Genomic DNA, 21569 nt, shown 5'->3' with positions numbered 1-21569 from the left:
TCCTTGGATTGTTAAAGTGGTGGCATAGTTTTCTGGGTATTTCAGGTAGTTCCCAAATAAAAAATATGCTCTAAAAGTTCACTTGTATGTTGACTTTTAGTAATATTTACCCATGCAAACAATACTCTTGGTGTTAGCCTTCTTAGTTTGTGCCCTCAAAGCTTACTGAAACCATAGGGGCCCTGAAAGGTAAGCAGTGGTACAGAACCAAACCGTATCTGTATGTGTTCTGTACTCCAAGAAATTATAGGGCAACTTTTCTCCCTACTGCACCCTGCTGGTGAGATCAGAGAATAAATACTCCTGTCGGGCAGTGGCAACCAAGACTCAGAAAGCAACTGAAGTTAAGTGTCTGTTTTATGGGAAACTTTTCAGAACGTATGCCAGCGTTTGTTGCAGAAACTTGAGCTGTGCATGGGTAAGGAACAGAATGGGCCTTATAATGTGAGCAGGGATCTTGCTAATGAAACTGTCTGAAGTGGGGCAGGGGGTGAAGGAGGGCAAATTGGCAAAACTGTCCCCTACCTTTCCTGTTGCCACTTATATGTCCTCCTTAATATTACTGGCTTGAAATGGGAAGTAAGGGATGGCCCAAGAAGGAAGGTGAAGGTCTTCAGCACCCAGCTGAAGGAGCAGCAGTTCCAAGGCAAATGCTATTATATAGAGGGTATCCCTAGGTCACATACAAGTAAAATTAAGGTCTGTCTGCACATCATATTTCCAAAAATGTTGACATTACCCATGTGTATTCTAAAAAATACTTAATTTTCAAAAATCTAAAGAACATCTAAACACCTTCCAACATTTTATGGGTTACTAAAGGGATAGTAACCATATACTTTTGAGTTATGCTTTAATATTATAAATAGGGACAAACGGATGACAAGAAAGGAATCATTGTGTTTGAACTTCTGTAGAACTTCAGAAATAGTATGGCTTGCGTACTGTTCCAAATTTCTGAAAATTACTTATTAACTAGATAAATGTTTTGATCATTATTCCTTAACTTTCATTAAATGACTTTGTGGTGTGTCAAATAAACGCACTTTAAAATCTGTAAAATCCCTTGGCTCTGAATCGACAATGTGGTGTAGCTGCACTGGATATAGCAGTACACAAGCGACATAATTTCAGTGTTAATAGACCTACAATTTTAACTGAACTGGTAGGTGGTTTTTAAAGTGTGTACAAAGACTACTACTTAATTTCAGTTGTCAAATGTGAAACCACTGACATTTAAGTGTGCGTGTGTAACTTAAATTCACACTCTAAAAACTTGGTAAAACAAACATCTTCAGTATTCACTCTTAAAAACAGATGTCCATTGCCAAAGAAATTCAGAAGGTTGGATGATTACCTGGGTTAGACAGGATATGAGTCTGTCAGGCCTCAATTTTTTTAGTAGGTTGATGAGACTAGTACAGATTCAATAACTAGTTTTCATTTCTGTCTGCTCATCAGCTGAGAAAAACTGAACAAATGAACAGGGAATATAAACGTATTCATTTTTCATAAGATACAGATATTACAGGTCAGACTGTGACCATATGCTGAGACGGTCCAAATTTTTTTATCCTGGAAGTTTATTAGAAATCACTTGAAATTAATGGACCATTGAATGAGACAAATATTTTGTTACTTACAGTGATTAATATTTATTGAAATGTAATTTAATCTTAGAGTTAAGTGTCCTGAAAGGATTTTGGTAAGGTTTTGTAGTTTTACTGAAATAATACCAGTGCAACACTGGTTCAGACCAACAAACAGGTTGAAAAAACTGAATATTCTCCAGAGACAACAAGTTTATTTCTAGAACAGGTTTAATAAAAACAAGATAATACAGAATACTTAAACCCCTGTAAGTCAAACAAAAAGGTAAAGGAAAAAATGTAAGAAAAACATACTGTTTGCGGTTCCAAGATAGCCAAATAGGAACAGCTCCAGTCTACAGCTCCCAGCGCGAGTGACGCAGAAGACAGGTGATTTCTGCATTTCCAACTGAGGTACCGGGTTCATCTCACGGGGCTTGTCGGACAGTGGGGGCAGGACAGTGGGTGCAGCCCACCGAGCGTAAGCCAAAGCAGGGTGAGGCATCGCCTCAGCCGGGAAGTGCAAGGGGTCAGGGAATTCCCTTTCCTAGCCAAGGGAAGTGGTAACAGATGGCACCTGGAAAATCAGGTAATTCCCACCCAAATACTGAGCTTTTCCAATGGTCTTAGCAAACGGCACACCAGGAGATTATATCCCACACCTGGCTCGGAGGGTCCCACGCCCACAGATACTCACTCACTGCTAGCACAGCGGTCTGAGATCTATCTGCAAGATGGCAGCGAGGCTGGGGGAGGGGCATCCACCATTGCTGAGGCTTGAGTAGGTAAACAAAGCAGCCAGGAAGCTCGAACTGGGTGGAGCCCACCACAGCTCAAGGAGGCCTGCCTGCCTCTGTAGACTCCACCTCTGGGGGCAGGTCATAGCCGAACAAAAGGCAGCAGAAACCTCTGCAGACTTAAATGTCCCTGTCTGACAGCTTTGAAGTGAATAGTGGTTCTCCCAGAAAGGAGTTTGAGATCTGAGAACGGACAGACTGCCCCCTCAAGTGGGTCCCTGACCCCCGAGTAGCCTAACTGGGAGGCACCTCCCAGTAGGGGCAGACTGACACCTCACATGGCCAGGTGCCCCTCTGAGATGAAGCTTCCAGAGGAACGATCAGGCAGCAACATTTGCTGTTCAGCAATATGTGCTGTTCTGCAGCCTCTGCTGCTGATACCCAGGCAAACAGGGTCTGGAGTGGACCTCCAGCAAGCTCCAACAGACCTGCAGCTGAGGGTCCTGACTGTTAGAAGGAAAACTAACAAACAGAAAGGACATCCACATCAAAACCCCATCTGTACGTCACCATCATCAAAGAGCAGAGATAGATAAAACCACAAAGATGGGGAAAAAAGAGAGCAGAAAAGCTGAAAATTCTAAAAATCAGAGCGCCTCTCCCCCTCCAAAGGAACGCAGCTCCTTACCAGCAACGGAACAAAGCTGGATGGAGAATGACTTTGACAAGTTGAGAGAAGAAGGCTTCAGACGATCAAACTTCTCTGAGCTAAAGGAGGAAGTTTGAACCCACTGCAAAGAAGCTAAAAACCTTGAAAAAAGATTAGATGAATGGCGAACTAGAATAAACAGTGTAGAGAAGTCCTTAAATGACCTGATGGAGCTGAAAAACATGGCAAGAGAACTACGTGATGAATGCACAAGCTTCAGTAGCCGATTCGATCAACTGGAAGAAAGGGTATCAGTGATTGAAGATCAAATGAATGAAATGAAGCAAGAAGAGAAGTTTAGAGAAAAAAGAGTAAAAGGAAATGAACAAAGCCTCCAAGAAATATGGGACTATGTGAAAAGACCAAATTTATGTCTGATTGGTGTACCTGAAAGTGATGGGGAGAATGGAACCAAGTTGGAAAACACTCTGCAGGATATTATCCAGGAGAACTTCCCCAACCTAGCAAGGCAGGCCAACATTCAGATTCAGGAAATACAGAGAATGCCATAAAGATAATCCTCGAGAAGAGCAACTCCAAGACACATAATTGTCAGATTCACCAAAGTTGAAATGAAGGAAAAAATGTTAAGGGCAGCCAGAGAGAAAGGTCGGGTTACCCACAAAGGGAAGACCATCAGACTAACGGCGAATCTCAGCAGAAACTCTACAAGCCAGAAGAGAGTGGGGGCCAATATTCAACATTCTTAAACGAATTTTCAACCCAGAATTTCATATCCAGCCAAATTAAGCTTCATAAGTGAAGGAGAAATAAAATCCTTTACAGACAAGCAAATGCTGAGAGATTTTGTCACCACCAGGCCTGCTCTACAAGAGCTCCTGAAAGAAGCAGTAAACATGGAAAGGAACGACTGGTACCAGCCACTGCAAAAACATGCCAAAATGTAAAGACCATCAATGCTAGGAAGAAACTGCATCAACTAATGAGCAAAATAACCAGCTAACATCATAATGACAGGATCAAGTTCACACATAACAATATTAACCTTAAATGTAAATGGGCTAAATGCTTCAATTAAAATACACAGACTGGCAAAACGGATAAAGAGTCAAGACCCATCAGTGTGCTGTATTCAGGAGACCCATCTCACATGCAGAGACTCACATAGGCTCAAAACAAAGGGATGGAGGAAGATCTACCAAGCAAATGGAAAAAAAAGGCAGGGGTTGCAATCCTAGTCTCTGATAAAACAGACTTTAAACCAACAAAGATCAAAAGAGACAAGGCCATTACATAATGGTAAAGGGATCAATTCAACAAGAAGAGCTAATTATCCTAAACATATATGCACCCAATACAGGAGCACCTAGATTCATAAAGCAAGTCCTTAGAGACTTACAAAGAGACTTAGACTCCCACACAATAATAATGGGAGACTTTAACACCCCACTGTCAACCTTAGACAGATAAACGAGACAGAAAGTTAACAAGGATATCCAGGAATTGAACTCAGCTCTGCACCAAGCAGACCTAATAGACATCTACAGAACTCTCCACCACAAATCAACAGAATATACATTCTTCTCAGCACCACATTGCCCTTATTCCAAAATTGACCACATAGCTGGAAGTAAAGCACTCCTCAGCAAATGTAAAAGAACAGAAATTATAACAAACTGTCTCTCAGACCACAGTGCAATCAAAGTAGAACTCAGGATTAAGAAACTCACTCAAAACCGCTCAACTACATGGAAACTGAACAACCTTCTCCTGAATGACTAATGGGTATATAACAAAATTAAGGCAGAAATAAAGATGTTCTTTGAAACCAGTGAGAACAAAGACACAACATACCAGAATCTCTGGGACACATTTAAAGCAGTGTGTAGAGGGAAATTTATAGCACTAAATGCCCATAAGAGAAAGCAGGAAAGATGTAAAATTGACACCCTAACATCACAATTAAAAGAACTAGAGAAGCAAGAGCAAACACATTCAAAAGCTAGCAGAAGGCAAGAAATAACTAAGATCAGAGCACAACTGAAGGAGATACACAAAAAACCCTTCAAAAAATCAATGAATCCAGGGGCTCGTTTTTTGAAAAGATCAACAAAATTGATAGACTGCTAGCAAGACTAATAAAGAAGAAAAGAGGGGAGAATCAAATAGAGGCAATAAAAAAATGATGAAGGGGATATCACCACTGATCTCACAGAAATACAAGCTACCATCAGAGAATACTATAAACATCTCTAAGCAAATAAACTAGAAAATCTAGAAGAAATGGATAAATTCCTCGACACATACACTCTCCCAAGACTAAACCAGGAAGAAGTTGAATCTCTGAATAGACCAATAACAGGATCTGAAATTGAGGCAATAATTAATAGCCTACCAACCAAAAAAAGTCCAGGACCAGATGGATTCACAGCCGAATTCTACTAGAGGTACAAGAAGCTGGTACCATTCCTTCTGAAACTATTCCAATCCATAGAAAAAGAGGGAATCCTCCCTAACTCATTTTATGAGGCCAGCATCATCCTGATACCAAAGCCTGACAAAGACACAACAAAAAAAGAGAATTTTAGACCAATATCCCTGATGAACATTGATGCAAAAATCCTCAATAAAATACTGGCAAACCGAATCCAGCAGCACATCAAAAAGCTTATCCACCATGATCAAGTGGGCTTCATCCCTGGGATGCAAGGCTGGTTCAACATATGCAAATCAATAAATGTAATCCAGCATATAAAGAGAACCAAAGACAAAAACCACATGATTATCTCAATAGATGCAGAAAAGGCCTTTGAGAAAATTCAACAGCCCTTCATGCTAAAAACTCTCAATAAATTAGGTATTGATGGGATGTATCTCAAAATAATAAGAGCTATTTATGACAAACCCACAGCCAATATCATACTGAATGGGCAAAACCTGGAAGCATTCCCTTTGAAAACTGGCACAAGACAAAGATGCCCTCTCTCACCACTCCTATTCAACACAGTGTTGGAAGTTCTGGCCAGGGCAATTAGGCAGGAGAAAGAAATAAAGGGTATTCAATTAGGAAAAGAGGAAGTCAAATTGTCCCTGTGTGCAGATGACATGATTGTATATTTAAAAAACCCCATCGTCTCAGCCCAAAATCTCCTTAAGCTGATAAGCAACTTCAGCAAAGTCTCTGGATACAAAATCAATGTGCAAAAAATCACAAGCATTCTTATACACAAATCACAGACGAACAGAGAGCCACATCATGAGTGAACTCCCATTCACAGTTGCTTCAAAGAGAATAAAATACCTAGGAATCCAACTTACAAGGGATGTGAAGAACCTCTTCAAGGAGAACTACAAACCACTGCTCAATGAAATAAAAGAAGACACAAACAAATGCAAGAACATTCCATGCCCATGGATAGGAAGAATCAATATCATGAAAATGGCCATAGTGCCCAAGGTAATTTATAGATTCAATGCCACCCTCATCAAGCTACCAATGACTTTCTTCACAGAACTGGAAAAAACTACTTTAAAGTTCATATGGAACCAAAAAAGGGCCCGCATTGCCAAGACAATCCTAAGCCAAAAGAACAAAGCTGGAGGCATCATGTTACCTGACTTCAAATTATACTACAAGGCTATAGTAACCAAAACAGCATGGTACTGGTACCAAAACAGAGATATAGACCAATGGAACAGAACAGAGCCCTCAGAAATAATACCACACATCTACAACCATCTGATCTTTGACAAACCTGACAAAAACAACAAATGGGGAAAGCATTCCCTATTTAATAAATGGTGCTGGGAAACCTTGCTAGCCATATGTAGAAAGCTGAAACTGGATCCCTTCCTTACACCTTATATAAAAATTAATTCAAGATGGACTAAAGACTTAAATGTTAGACCTAAAACCGTAAAAACCCTAGAAGAAAACCTAGGCAATACCTTTCAGGACATAGGTATGGGCAAGGACTTCATGTCTAAAACACCAAAAGCAATGGCAACAAAAGCCAAAATTGACAAATGGGATCTAATTAAACTAAAGAGCTTCTGCACAGCAAAAGAAACTACCATCAGAGTGAACAGACAACCTACAGAATGGGAGAAAATTTTTGCAATCTACTCATCTGACAAAGGGCTAATATCCAGAATCTACAAAGAACTCTAACAAATTTACAAGAAAAAAACAAACAACCCCATCAACAAGTGGGCGAAGGATATGAACAGACACTTCTCAAAAGAAGACATTTATGCAGCCAAAAGACACATGAAAAAATGCTCATCATCACTGGCCATCAGAGAAATGCAAATCAAAACCACAATGAGATACCATCTCACACCAGTTAGAATGGCAGTCATTAAAAAGTCAGGAAACAACAGGTGCTGGAGAGGATGTGGAGAAATAGGAACACTTTTACACTGTTGGTGGGACTGTAAACTAGTTCAACCATTGTGGAAGTCAGTGTGGCGATTCCTCAGGGATCTAGAACTAGAAATATCATTTGACCCAGCCACCCCATTACTGGGTATATACCCAAAGGATTATAAAACATGCTGCTATAAAGACACATGCACACATGTTTATTGCAGCACTATTCATAATAGCAAAGACTTGGAACCAACCCAAATGTCCATCAATGATAGACTAGATTAAGGAAATGTGGCACATATACACCATGGAATACTATGCAGCCATAAAAAATGATGAGTTCATGTCCTTTGTAGGGACATGGATGAAGCTGGAAACCATCATTCTCAGCAAACTATCGCAAGGACAAAAAACCAAACACTGCATGTTCTCACTCATAGGTGGGAACTGAACAATGAGAACACATGGACACAGGAAGGGGAACATCACACACCAGGGCCTGTTGTGGGGTGGGGGGAGGGGGAGGGATAGCATTAGGAGATATACCTAATGTAAATGATGAGTTAATGGGTGCAGCACACCAACACGGCACGTGTATACATATGTAACAAACCTGCACATTGTGCACATGTACCCTAAAACTTAAAGTATAATAAAAAATGGGATAAATGGAGTTTTCATGAAGCACAAATAAAATTATTCATGTAAAATACTAAAAAAAAAAGCAATTTTATGTGCTACTGTCTGATCAATAATGTAAAAGTTTATAATCAGAAGAGCTTAATTCTTCTAAACTGTTATTGGTTTGTAAAGGTGTGTATATTTAATGGGCAAAAAGGCTTGAAGGGTTAAATGTTATATATGTGAAATCAATATATGGTCTATTTTTGCCATAAAACTGTTTCAAGCAAGATATGATTTGTGTGTGAACATTACAGTGCAATTAAAGCTACTGCCTCTATTTTTCAACTGTGGATCTTACTGCATAAAGGCATGTAATTAAATTAGTCCTATTTCCCCACTGGATTATTTTTAATAATGTACCAGGCAAGAGAGGTTTCCTTAGTAGGTGCCAATCTGTCATCACACATCTCCACAGTAATCAATCACTTTAAGAGTTAGAATGCATCTTGCCAAACTAGCCAGCTTCATTAATCAGGATATTTGTGGGTCAATTAATACACTTGAATAAAGATTTGCTATCAATTTCACAGTGGGCTTGCAGAGCTCTTCATGTGGCCACCTCTATAGTAGAACATATGCTATTTGTTGTGTCCACTTTATTCATCTTCCAGTGGGGTTGTTTTCGGACCAGTAGTAGCAGCATCTGGAATCTGTTAGAAATGCAAATTCTTGAGCCTTGACCCAGATCTAAATATTTTGAGTCAGAAGCTATGGGGATGGGGCCCAGAAATCACTTTAGTTTTCCAGGTGATTTTGATACACATTAAAGTTTGAGAACCACTGCTTTAGTAATTAAAAATCAATGGACGTTTAATATATGTCCTAATTTGGGACTCATTGTATAGCCAAGCTATAATTAATACAAACTAAAGTCTATCTAGGCTTTCTTTTTTTTTCTTTTTGAGATAGGGTCTTGCTCTGTCACCCAGGGTGGAGTGAAGTGGCCTGATCACAACTCACTGCAGCTTCCATCTCCTGAACTCAGGTGATTCTCTTGCCTTAGCCTCCCAATTAGCTAGGACTACAGCTGTGGGCCACCACACCCAGCTAATTTTTGTGTGTGTGTGTGTAGATGGGGTCTCACTCTGTTGACCAGGCTGGTCGGTCTTGAACTCTTGAGCTCAAGCGATCCTCCCATCTTGGCCTCCCAAAGTCCTGGGATTATAGGTGAGCCACCACAGCCAGCTAATTTAGGCCATTTTAATTAGGTTAATGATATTTATAGTCATGGTAGGCTGAATAGCAGCTCCCCAGATATGTCCATATCCTAATCCCCTGAAGTTATAAATTTTACATGGCAAAAGGGACTGTGCAGATGTGACTAAATGAAGCATTTTTGAGTTGGGGGATTATCCTGGATTATCCAGGTGGACACAAAGTAATCACCAGGGTCTTTAGTAAAGAGATTTAAAGATCCTCCACAATTGGCTAGAAAATGGAGGAAGATGCCACAAGTGACGGAACGCAGGCAGCCTCTGCAAGCTGGTAAATGCAAGGAAACAGATTCTCCCCTACAGCCTCCAAGAGGAATGTGGCTCCAGCAATAGCTTGATTTTAGGACTTGAGTTCCAGAACTGTAAGATATGTTTTTTAATGTTTGTGGTAACTTGTTACAGCAGCAATAGGAAACTTATACAATGGTATATTCTTTCTCTCGGGAGAAACTTGAGGGTTTGTTGGGTTGGAAAAACTAGGTGATATGGAGGCCTCATGTCCCAAACTGCTAGGTGTGTGTTTTTGCCTCAAAACTCGAATATGAGCACAAAGCAGAATGCACAAGGCAACAAGCTTAGCCTTGGTGCAAAACTTTCCTTACTCCAACCCAAAAAGATCTTCCTCCCAGTCTTTAAACATGGATTTGTTCTTTTAGGATATGATATTCCTTACTGGTTCCATCTGGCTACTGGGGAAAGTAACTCAGGGTGGCATCTTCTATCACTGAAGTATGAATCGGTTTAGCAGACTGATTTCCAATACTACACCAGCACATGAAGAGTGAATAGGTATTTCTACTTCAAATATAAATTATTTCCATTTTAATTTCTACAGACCTTAAGAATTAAAGTAGAACTAATTTTAGTAACAAAAAGAAATCTTTGGATCATTTAGTCCGAGCTCTTTAAAACCAAGGCCCTTCATCCCCGTGAGGTCTGAGAAATCAAAAACACACAAGGTCTGGGATAAAGTAATTCACTGGTGACCATACAGCTAATTAGTTCACTTGGCAAAGTATAGTCTTGCCCACAAAAGCTGCTCTGTTCTTTACTTATTGACTTCCTAGAGACCATGTGACTTTTTAAGGCCAGCCTTCTAATGATGATGTTAATTTATATTTTACACCATTTAAAATGTGAGCAAACACATTTTCATGTAGCTTAGCAATCTGCTACATTCTTCTTTCTACACGGGGAACCTGAACTTTCTGAGTATAAAGAGAAGAGGAAATATCCTGTTTTCCCTATAACCTTATCTGAAGCTAAACCTCCCATTAAGCTCAAACTATCTTCCTCCGTGAACAAATGCATTCATTGTCAAGCTGGGTATCCAAAGAGAAACAGGTCCTTCCTCTTGAGAATCTTACAGTCTAGAGACAAATTGGGTAAACAGTATTATAAAACTCATGTAGTAAGACAGATTTCAGATCACAGAGTTGGGGTAGGAGGGACAAATGTTAGGGCAATCCCTCAAGGTTTCACAGGAGGTGTTATATTCAGTCTGGGATTTAAATGAAGACTCCAGGGTGCCAAAGAGAGGAAATGATACCCTGAGCAGATACATGGAGAGAGAGAGGACCTCTATGTGTGAAGAACAAGCGAGTAGGTGTGATTGACACAGGGTGCTTCGGAGAGGATGGCAGGACATGAACTGGGAAGGAAAATATAACATAGAAAATGCCAAAGGTCCTGGACTTTATTGTGTTAGCAAGTGCAAACTCTCACAGGTGTTTTAAAGAAGAGAGTGGCATGGTTTGTTTAAAAATACTAGCAGCAGGGGGTATACTGGAGGGAAGATGGTAGATAGGAGGCAGGACTAATTTGCAGTTCCCACTCAGATGGACAGAGCAGCGTGTGGAAACCCACATTGTGAACTTTTGCTCCAAGAACTACTGCAGGAATATACCAGGAAAGCCAAGAGAATTGAGCAGACAGAAGGAGATGGATTGCTGCTGTAGGCTCTGCGGGACAGCAGAAGAACTCCAAAAAAAAGGACATAATCTCTTGGGAGCTCTATGGCCCCGCCCACAGTGTGATTTTCCCTATAATACCACAGCTGATGCACTCTTGAAAGCGCCACCTCCTGGCTGGAGGCCAACGAACACAAAACCAGTAGTACACTTAACAAAAATACAACCAAGGACCCTCACAGGGTCCACTTCACTCTCCTGCTACCTCCACTTGAGCAGGTGCTGGTATCCATGGCTGAAAGACCTGAAGATGAATCACATCTCAGGACTCTTTGCAGACACTCCCCAGTACCAGCCCAGAGCTTGGTAGCCCTGCTGGGTGACTAGATCCAGAAGAGAAATAACAATCACTGCAGTTTGGCTCTCAAGACATGCCATCCCTAGGGAAAAGGGGAGAGCACCACATCAAAGGAGCATCCTGTGGGACAAAAGAATCTGAACAGCAGCCCTTGAGTCCCAGATCTTCCCTCACATTCTCTACCCAAATGAGAAGGAACCAGAAAAGCAATTCTGGTAATATGACAAAACAAGGTTCTTTAACACCCCAAAAGATCACACTAGCTCACCAACAGTGGATCCAAACCAAGACAAAATCTCTAAACTGCAGGAAAAAAGAATTCAGAAGGTCAACTATTAAGTCAATCAAGGAGGCACCAGAGAAAGGTAAAGTCTAACTTAAAGAAATAAAAAAAATGATATAGGGCCAGGTGTAGCGGCTCACACCTATAACCCCAACACTTTGGGAGGCCGAAGCAGGTGGATCACTTGAGGTCAGGAGTTCGAGACCAGCCTGGCCAACGTGGCAAAACCCTGTCTCTACTAAAAATACAAAAATTAGCTAGGCATGGTGGTGGGCGCCTATAATCCCAGCTACTGGGGAGGCTGAAGCAGAATTGCTTGAACCTAGGGAGGCAGAGGTTGCAGTGAGCCGAGATTGTGGCACTGCACTCCAGCCTGGGTGACAGAGCAAGACTCCTTTTCAAAGAAAAAAAAAAAAAAGATATAGGATATGAATGGAAAAATCTCCAGTGAAATAGCATAAGTAAAAAACAATCACGGCCGGGAGCAGTGGCTCACGCCTGCAATCCCAGCAGTTTGGGAGGCTCAGGCAGGTGGATCACCTGAGGTCAGGAGTTCAAAACCAGCCTGCCCAACGTGGTGAACCCTGTCTCTACTAAAAATAGAAAAATTAACCAGCTGTGGTGGCAGACGCCTGTAATCCCAGCTACTCGGGAGGCTGAGATAGGAGATTCGCTTGAACCCAGGAGGCAGAGGTTGCAGGTAGCCAAGATTGCGCCATTCCAGTCCAGCCTGGGCGACAAGAGTGAATCTCCATCTCAAAACGAAACAAAAACAAAACAAAAAGCACAACTTCTAGAAATGAAGAACACACTTAGAGAAATGCAAAATGCAAAATGCATTGGAAGGTCTCAGCAATAGAATTGAACAAATGGAAGAAAGAAACTTCCCAGCTCAAAGACAAGGCTTTCAAATTAGCCCAATCTGACAAAGACAAAGAAGAAAGAATTTTTTAAAATGATCAAAGCCTCCAAGAAGTTTGGGATTATGTTAAATGACCAAACCTAAGAATAATTGGTGTTCCTGAGGAAGAAGATAAATCTAAAAGTTTGGAAAACATATTTGAGGGAATAATTGAAGAAAACTTCCTCAGCTCTGCTAGAGATCTAGACATCCACATACAAGAAGTTCAAAGAACACCTGGGAAATTCATCACAAAAAGATCATTGCCTAGGCACATAGTCATCAGGTTATCTAAAGTCAAGAAAAAGGAAAGACTCTTAAGAGCTATGCGGCAAAAGCATCAGGTAACCTATAAAAGATAACCTATCAGATTAATAGCAGATTTCTCAGCCGAAACCCTACAAGCTAAAAGGGATTGGGGTCCTATCTTTAGCTTCCTTAAACAAAGCAATTATCAGCCAAGAATTTTGTATCCAACAAAATTAAGCTTCATAAATGAAGGAAAGATACAGTCTTCTTCAGACAAACAAATGCTGAATTTGCCACTACCAAGCCAGCACTAAAAGAACTGCTAAAAGGAGCTCTAAATCTTAAATCCTCAAAATCATCAAAATAGAATATCCTTAAAGCATAAATCTCACAGGACCTATAATTTTTCATTTTAACACAATGAAAAAAAAACCTAAGGTATTCAGGCAACAAATAGTACGATGAATAGAATAGTACCTCACATCTCAATACTAATGTTTAATGTAAATGGCCTAAATGCTCCACCTAAAAGATATGAAATGGCAGAATGGATAAGAATTCATCAACCAAGTATATTCTATCTTCAAGAGACCCACCTGACACATAAAGACTCACATAAACTTAGGTAAAGGGGTGGAATAGCTACTCCTGCTTGCTTTTGATGTCCATTTGGATGGAATATCTTGAATGGAATAACTAGAAAACCTAGAGGAGATGGATAAATTCCTGGAAATATACAACCCTCCTACATTAACCCAGGAAGAAACAGAAACTCTGAACAGGCCAATAACAAGCAGCAAGATTGAAATGGTAATTAAAAAGTTACCAACAAAATACCAGTGGGATATTTGTTACCAATGGAATATCTTTCCATGCAAATGGACAACAAAAGCAAGCAGGAGTAGCTATTCTTGTATCACACAAACTTCAAAGCAACAGCAGTTAAAAATGACAAAGAGGGGTATTATATGATGATAAAAGGACTAGTCCAGCAGGAAAATATCACAATCCTAAATGTATCTATGCACCTAACACTGGAGCTCCCAAATTTACAAAACAATTACTACTAGACCAAAAAAATGAGATAGATGTTAATACAGTAATAGTGGGGGACTTCAATACTCCACTGACAGCAGTAGACAGGTCATCAAGACAGAAAGTCAACAAAGAAACTATGGACTTAAACTGTACCCTAGAACAAATAAACTAAACAGATATTCACAGAACATTCTAGCCAAAAACTGCAGAGTATATATTCATTAATCAGCACATGAAACATTCTCCAAGATAGACCATATATGATAGGCCACAAAACAAGTCTCAACACATTTTAAAAAATAAAAATCTTATCAAGTACTCTCACAGACCACAGTAGAATAAAATTAGAAACCAACTGCAAAAGGAACCCTCAAAACCATGCCAAATAAATGGAAGTACAATAACCTGCTCCTGAATGATCACTGGGTCAACAATGAAATCAAGATGGAAATTAAAAAATTCTTTGAACTGAATGATAGTAGTGACACAAACTATCAAAATATCTGAACCTCTGGAATACAGCAAAGACAGAGCTAAGAGGAAAGTTCATAGTATTAAATGCCTACATCATGAAGTCTGAAAGAGTACAAATAGACAATCTAAGGTCACACCTCAAGGAGTTAGAGAAACAAGAATCAACCAAACCCAAACCCAGCAGAAGTAAAGAAATAACTAAGATCAGGGCAGAATTAAATGAAATTGAAACAAACAAAAAAAACACAATATAAAAGATAAACAAAGAGCTGGTTCTTTGAAAAGAGAAATGAAATTGATAGACCATTAGTGAGATTAACGAAGAAAAGGAGAGAAGATCCAAAGAAACTCAATTAGAAATAAGCAGGACAAAAAAATGTCCCAGTCTGACAGCTTTGAAGAGAGCAGTGGTTCTCCCAGCACGCAGCTGGAGATCTGAGAACGGGCAGACTGCCTCCTCAAGTAGGTCCCTGACCCCTGACCCCCGAGCAGCCTAACTGGGAGGCACCCCCAAGCAGGGGCAGACTGACACCTCACACGGCTGGGTACTCCAACAGACCTGCAGCTGAGGGTCCTGACTGTTAGAAGGAAAACTAACAAACAGAAAAGACATCCACACCAAAAACACATCTGTACATCACCATCATCAAAGACCAAAAGTAGATAAAACCACAAAGATGGGGAAAAAACAGAGCAGAAAAACTGGAAACTCTAAAAAGCAGAGCGCCTCTCCTCCTCCAAAGGAACGCAGTTCCTCACCAGCAACGGAACAAAGCTGGACGGAGAATGACTTTGACGAGCTGAGAGAAGAAGGCTTCAGACGATCAAATTACTCCGAGCTACGGGAGGACATTCAAACCAAAGGCAAAGAAGTTGAAAACTTTGAAAAAAGTTTAGAAGAATGTATAACTAGAATAACCAATACAGAGAAGTACTTAAAGGAGCTGATGGAGCTGAAAACCAAGGCTCGAGAACTATGTGAAGAATGCAGAAGCCTCAGGAGCCAATGCGATCAACTGGAAGAAAGGGTATCAGCGATGGAAGATGAAATGAATGAAATGAAGCGGGAAGGGAAGTTTAGAGAAAAAAGAATAAAAAGAAACGAGCAAAGCCTCCAAGAAATATGGGACTATGTGAAAAGACCAAATCTACGTCTGATTGGTGTACCTGAAAGTGACGGGGAGAATGGAACCAAGTTGGAAAACACTCTGCAAGATATTATCCAGGAGAACTTCCCCAATCTAGCAAAGCAGGCCAACGTTCAGATTCAGGAAATACAGAGAACGCCACAAAGATACTCCTCGAGAAGAGCAACTCCAAGACACATAATTGTCAGATTCACCAAAGTTGAAATGAAGGAAAAAATGTTAAGGGCAGCCAGAGAGAAAGGTCGGGTTACCCTCAAAGGGAAACCCATCAGACTAACAGCGGATCTCTCGGCAGAAACTCTACAAGCCAGAAGAGAGTGGGGGCCAATATTCGACATTCTTAAAGAAAAGAATTTTCAACCCAGAATTTCATATCCAGCCAAACTAAGCTTCAGAAGTGAAGGAGAAATAAAATCCTTTACAGACAAGCAAATGCTGAGAGATTTTGTCACCACCAGGCCTGCCCTAAAAGAGCTCCTGAAGGAAGCGCTAAACATGGAAAGGAACAACCGGTACCAGCCGCTGCAAAATCATGCCAAAATGTAAAGACCATCGAGACTACGAAGAAACTACATCAACTAATGAGCAAAATAACCAGCTAACATCATAATGACAGGATCAAATTCACACATTACAATATTAACTTTAAATGTAAATGGACTAAATGCTCCAATTAAAATATACAGACTGGCAAATTGGATAAAGAGTCAAGACCCATCAGTGTGCTGTATTCAGGAAACCCATCTCACGTGCAGAGACACACATAGGCTCAAAATAAAAGGATGGAGGAAGATCTACCAAGCAAATGGAAAACAAAAAAAGGCAGGGGTTGCAATCCTAGTCTCTGATAAAACAGACTTTAAACCAACAAACATCAAAAGAGACAAAGAAGGCCATTACATAATGGTAAAGGGATCAATTCAACAAGAAGAGCTAACTATCCTAAATATATATGCACCCAATACAGGAGCACCCAGATTCATAAAGCAAGTCCTGAGTGACCTACAAAGAGACTTAGACTCCCACACATTAATAATGGGAGACTTTAACACCCCACTGTCAACATTAGACACATCAACGAGACAGAAAGTCAACAAGGATACCCAGGAATTGAACTCAGCTCTGCACCAAGCAGACATAATAGACATCTACAGAACTCTTCACCCCAAATCAACAGAATGTACATTTTTTTCAGCACCACACCACACCTATTCCAAAATTGACCACATACTTGGAAGTAAAGCTCTCCTCAACAAATGTAAAAGAACAGAAATTATAACAAACTATCTCTCAGACCACAGTGCAATCAAACTAGAACTCAGGATTAAGAATCTCACTCAAAACCGCTCAACTACATGGAAACTGAACAACCTGCTCCTGAATGACTACTGGGTACATAACAAAACGAAGGCAGAAATAAAGATGTTCTTTGAAACCAACGAGAACAAAGACACCACATACCAGAATCTCTGGGACGCATCCAAAGCAGTGTGTAGAGGGAAATTTATAGCACTAAATGCCCACAAGAGAAAGCAGGAAAGATCCAAAACTGACACCCTAACATCACAATTAAAAGAACTAGAAAAGCAAGAGCAAACACATTCAAAAGCTAGCAGAAGGCAAGAAATAACTAAAATCAGAGCAGAACTGAAGGAAATAGAGACACAAAAAACCCTTCAAAAAATTAATTAATCCAGGAGCTGGTTTTTTGAAAGGATCAACAAAATTGATAGACTGCTAGCAAGACTAATAAACAAAAAAAGAGAGAAGAATCAAATAGATGCAATAAAAAATGATAAAGGGGATATCACCACCGATCCCACAGAAATACAAACTACCATCAGAGAATACTACAAACACCTCTATGCAAATAAACTAGAAAATCTAGAAGAAATGGATAAATTCCTGGACACATACACCCTCCCAAGACTAAACCAGGAAAAGTTGAATCTCTGAATAGACCAATAACAGGATCTGAAATTGTGGCAATAATCAATAGCTTACCAACCAAAGAGTCCAGGACCAGATGGATTCACAGCCGAATTCTACCAGAGGTACAAGGAGGAACTGGTACCATTCCTTCTGAAACTATTCCAATCCATAGAAAAAGAGGGAATCCTCCCTAACTCATTTTATGAGGCCAGCATCATCCTGATACCAAAGCCGGACAGAGATACAACCAAAAAAGAGAATTTTAGACCAATATCCTTGATGAACATTGATACAAAAATCCTCAATAAAATACTGGCAAACCGAATCCAGCAGCACATCAAAAAGCTTATCCACCATGATCAAGTGGGCTTCATCCCTGGGATGCAAGGCTGGTTCAATATACGCAAATCAATAAAGGTAATCCAGCATATAAACAGAACCAAAGACAAAAAACACATGATTATCTCAATAGATGCAGAAAAGGCCTTTGACAAAATTCAACAACCTTTCATACTAAAAACTCTCAATAAATTAGGTATTGATGGGACGTATTTCAAAATAATAAGAGCTATCTATGACAAACCCACAGCCAATATCATACTGAATGGGCAAAAACTGGAAGCATTCCCTTTGAAAACTGGCACAAGACAGGGATGCCCTCTCTCACCACTCCTATTCAACACAGTGTTGGAAGTTCTGGCCAGGGCAATTGGGCAGGAGAAGGAAATAAAGGGTATTCAGTTAGGAAAAGAGGAAGTCAAACTGTCCCTGTTTGCAGATGACATGATTGTATATCTAGAAAACCCCATTGTCTCAGCCCAAAATCTCCTTAAGCTGATAAGCAACTTCAGCAAAGTCTCTGGATACAAAATCAATGTACAAAAATCACAAGCATTCTTATACACCAACAACAGACAAACAGAGAGCCAAATCATGAGTGAACTCCCATTCACAATTGCTTCAAAGAGAATAAAATACCTAGGAATCCAACTTACAAGGGATGTGAAGGACCTCTTCAAGGAGAACTACAAACCACTGCTCAAGGAAATAAAAGAGGATACAAACAAGTGGAAGAACATTCCATGCTCATGGGTAGGAAGAATCAATATTGTGAAAATGGCCATACTGCCCAAGGTAATTTACAGATTCAATGCCATCCCCATCAAGCTACCAATGACTTTCTTCACAGAACTGGAAAAAACTACTTTAAAGTTCATATGGAACCAAAAAAGAGCCTGCATCGCCAAGTCAATCCTAAGCCAAAAGAACAAAGCTGGAGGCATCACACTACCTGACTTCATACTATACTACAAGGCTACAGTAACAAAAACAGCATGGTACTGGTACCAAAACAGAGATATAGATCAATGGAACAGAACAGAGGCCTCAGAAATAACGCCGCATATCTACAACTATCTGATCTTTGACAAACCTGAGGAAAACAAGCAATGGGGAAAGGATTCCCTATTTAATAAATGGTGCTGGGAAAACTGGCTAGCCATATGTAGAAAGCTGAAACTGGATCCCTTCCTTACACCTTATACGAAAATCAGTTCAGGATGGATTAAAGACTTAAACGTTAGACCTAAAACCATAAAAACCCTAGAAGAAAACCTAGGCATTACCATTCAGGACATAGGCATGGGCAAGGACTTCATGTCTAAAACACCAAAAGCAATGGCAACAAAAGCCAAAATTGACAAATGGGATCTAATTAAACTAAAGAGCTTCTGCACAGCAAAAGAAACTACCATCAGAGTGAACAGGCAACCTAAAAAATGGGAGAAAATTTTCACAACCTACTCATCTGACAAAGGGCTAATATCCAGAATCTACAACGAACTCAAACAAATTTACAAGAAAAAAACAAACAACCCCATTAAAAAGTGGGCAAAGGACATGAACAGACACTTCTCAAAAGAAGACATTTATGCAGCCAAAAAACACATGAAAAACTGCTCACCATCACTGGCCATCAGAGATATGCAAATCAAAACCACAATGAGATACCATCTCACACCAGTTAGAATGGCGATCATTAAAAAGTCAGGAAACAACAGGTGCTGGAGAGGATGTGGAGAAATAGGAACACTTTTACACTGTTGGTGGGACTGTAAACTAGTTCAACCATTGTGAAAGTCAGTGTGGCGATTCCTCAGGGATCTAGAACTAGAAATACCATTTGACCCAGCCATCCCATTACTGGGTATATACCCAAAGGACTATAAATCATGCTGCTATAAAGACACATGCACACGTATGTTTATTGCGGCATTATTCACAATAGCAAAGACTTGGAACCAACCCAAATGTCCATCAATGATAGACTGGATTAAGAAAATGTGGCACATACACACCATGCAATACTATGCAGCCATAAAAAAGGATGAGTTTATGTCCTTTGTGGGAACATGGATGAAGCTGGAAACCATCATTCTGAGCAAACTATCTCAAGGACAGAAAACCAAACACCACATGTTCTCACTCATAGGTGGGAATTGAACAATGAGAACACATGGACACAGGAAAGGGAACATCACACTCTGGGAACTGTTGTGGGGTCGTGGGGTCGGGGGAGGGATGGCATTGGGAGATATACCTAATGCTAGATGACCAGTTAGTGGGTGCAGCGCACCAGCATGGCACATGTATACATATGTAACTAACCTGCACATTGTGCACATGTACCCTAAAACTTAAAGTATAATAATAATAAATAAATAAATAAATACAAGAAATAAGCAGGACATATTACAACCGATACCACAGAAACAAAAAAGATGATTCAAGGCTACTATGAACAGCTTTACATGCATAAACTAGAAAACCTAGAGGAGATGGATACATTCCTGGAAATATACAACCCTCCTAGATTAAACAGGAAGAAACAGAAAACTCTAAACAGACCAATAACGAGCAGTGAGATTGAAATGGTAATTTAAAAATTACCAACAAAAATAGGCTGGGCACAGTGGCTCACGCCTGTAATCCCAACACTTTGGGAGGCCAAGGCGGGTGGACCACGAGGTCAGGAGTTCAAGACCAGTCTGGCCAACATGGTGAAACCATGTCTCTACTAAAAATACAAAAATTAGCTGGGCGCAGTGGCAGGCACCTGTAATTCCAGCTACTTGGGAGGCTGAGGCAGGAGAGTTGCTTGAAACCAAGAGGCAGAGGTTGCAGCAGTGAGCTGAGATCGCACCACTGCACTCCAGCCTAGGTGACAGAGCGAGACTCTATCTCAAAAAAAAAAAAAAAAAAATTACTAACAAAAAACCAAAAATTCCAGGACCAGATGAATTCACAGCTGAATTCTATCAGACATTCAAAGAAGAATTGGTACCAATCCTATGGACACTATTCCAAAAGATAAAGAGGGAATCCTCCCTAAATCATTCTATGAAGCCATGATCACCCTAATACCAAAACCAGGAAAGGACATATCAAAAAAACAAAACTATGGACCAACATCCCTGATGAACACAGATGCAAAAATCCTCAACGAAATCCTAGCTAACCGAATCCAACAGCATATCAAAAAGATAATCCATCACGATCAAGTGGGTTTCATACCAGGGCTGCAGGGATGGTTTAACATCTGAAAATCAATAAATGTGATATACCACATAAACAGAATTAAAAACAAAAATCACATGATCATCTGAATAGACCAGATAAAGCATTTGACAAAATCCAGCATCCCTTTATGATTAAAACCCTCAGCAAAATCAGCATAGAAGGAACATACCTTCTATGCTGGAGTTTGAGACAGCCTGGCCAACATGGCCCACATGGTGAAACCCCGTCTCTACTAAAATTACAAACTACAAACTAAAACTACAAAAATTAGCTGGGCATGGTGGCAGGTGCCTGTAATCTCAGCTACTTGGGAGGCTGAGGTCGGAGAATCGCTTGAACCCAGGAGGCAGAAGTTGCAGTGAGCCCAGATCACACCACTGCACTCCAGCCTGGGTGACAGAGTGAGACTCTGCCTCAAAAACAAACAAACA

General features: G+C 40.3%; 1 protein-coding gene across 5 annotated transcripts in view; it reads right to left on the bottom strand.

Annotated features, from left to right (window-relative positions):
- Positions 1–21569, bottom strand: part of SPATA7 (spermatogenesis associated 7) — an 84694-nt gene that overhangs the window by 6589 nt on the left and 56536 nt on the right. For 2 of the 5 annotated variants that reach the window (XM_006720204.2, XM_047431582.1), the window contains one exon: positions 1783–8702. The exons of the other annotated variants lie outside the window; for them this stretch is intronic. In XM_006720204.2, coding sequence (XP_006720267.1) covers positions 8649–8702 — 54 coding nt within the window. In that variant the 3' untranslated portion in view covers positions 1783–8648. Of the gene's footprint in view, positions 1–1782; positions 8703–21569 lie in introns of those variants that run through there. 5 annotated transcript variants of the gene reach the window in all.

The sequence above is a fragment of the Homo sapiens genome, chromosome 14 (assembly GCF_000001405.40).
Source record: "Homo sapiens chromosome 14, GRCh38.p14 Primary Assembly".
NCBI lineage: Eukaryota > Metazoa > Chordata > Mammalia > Primates > Hominidae > Homo > Homo sapiens.
The sequence above is the reverse complement of the archived record's forward strand: the minus strand, read 5'-3'. Positions and strand labels throughout refer to the sequence as shown.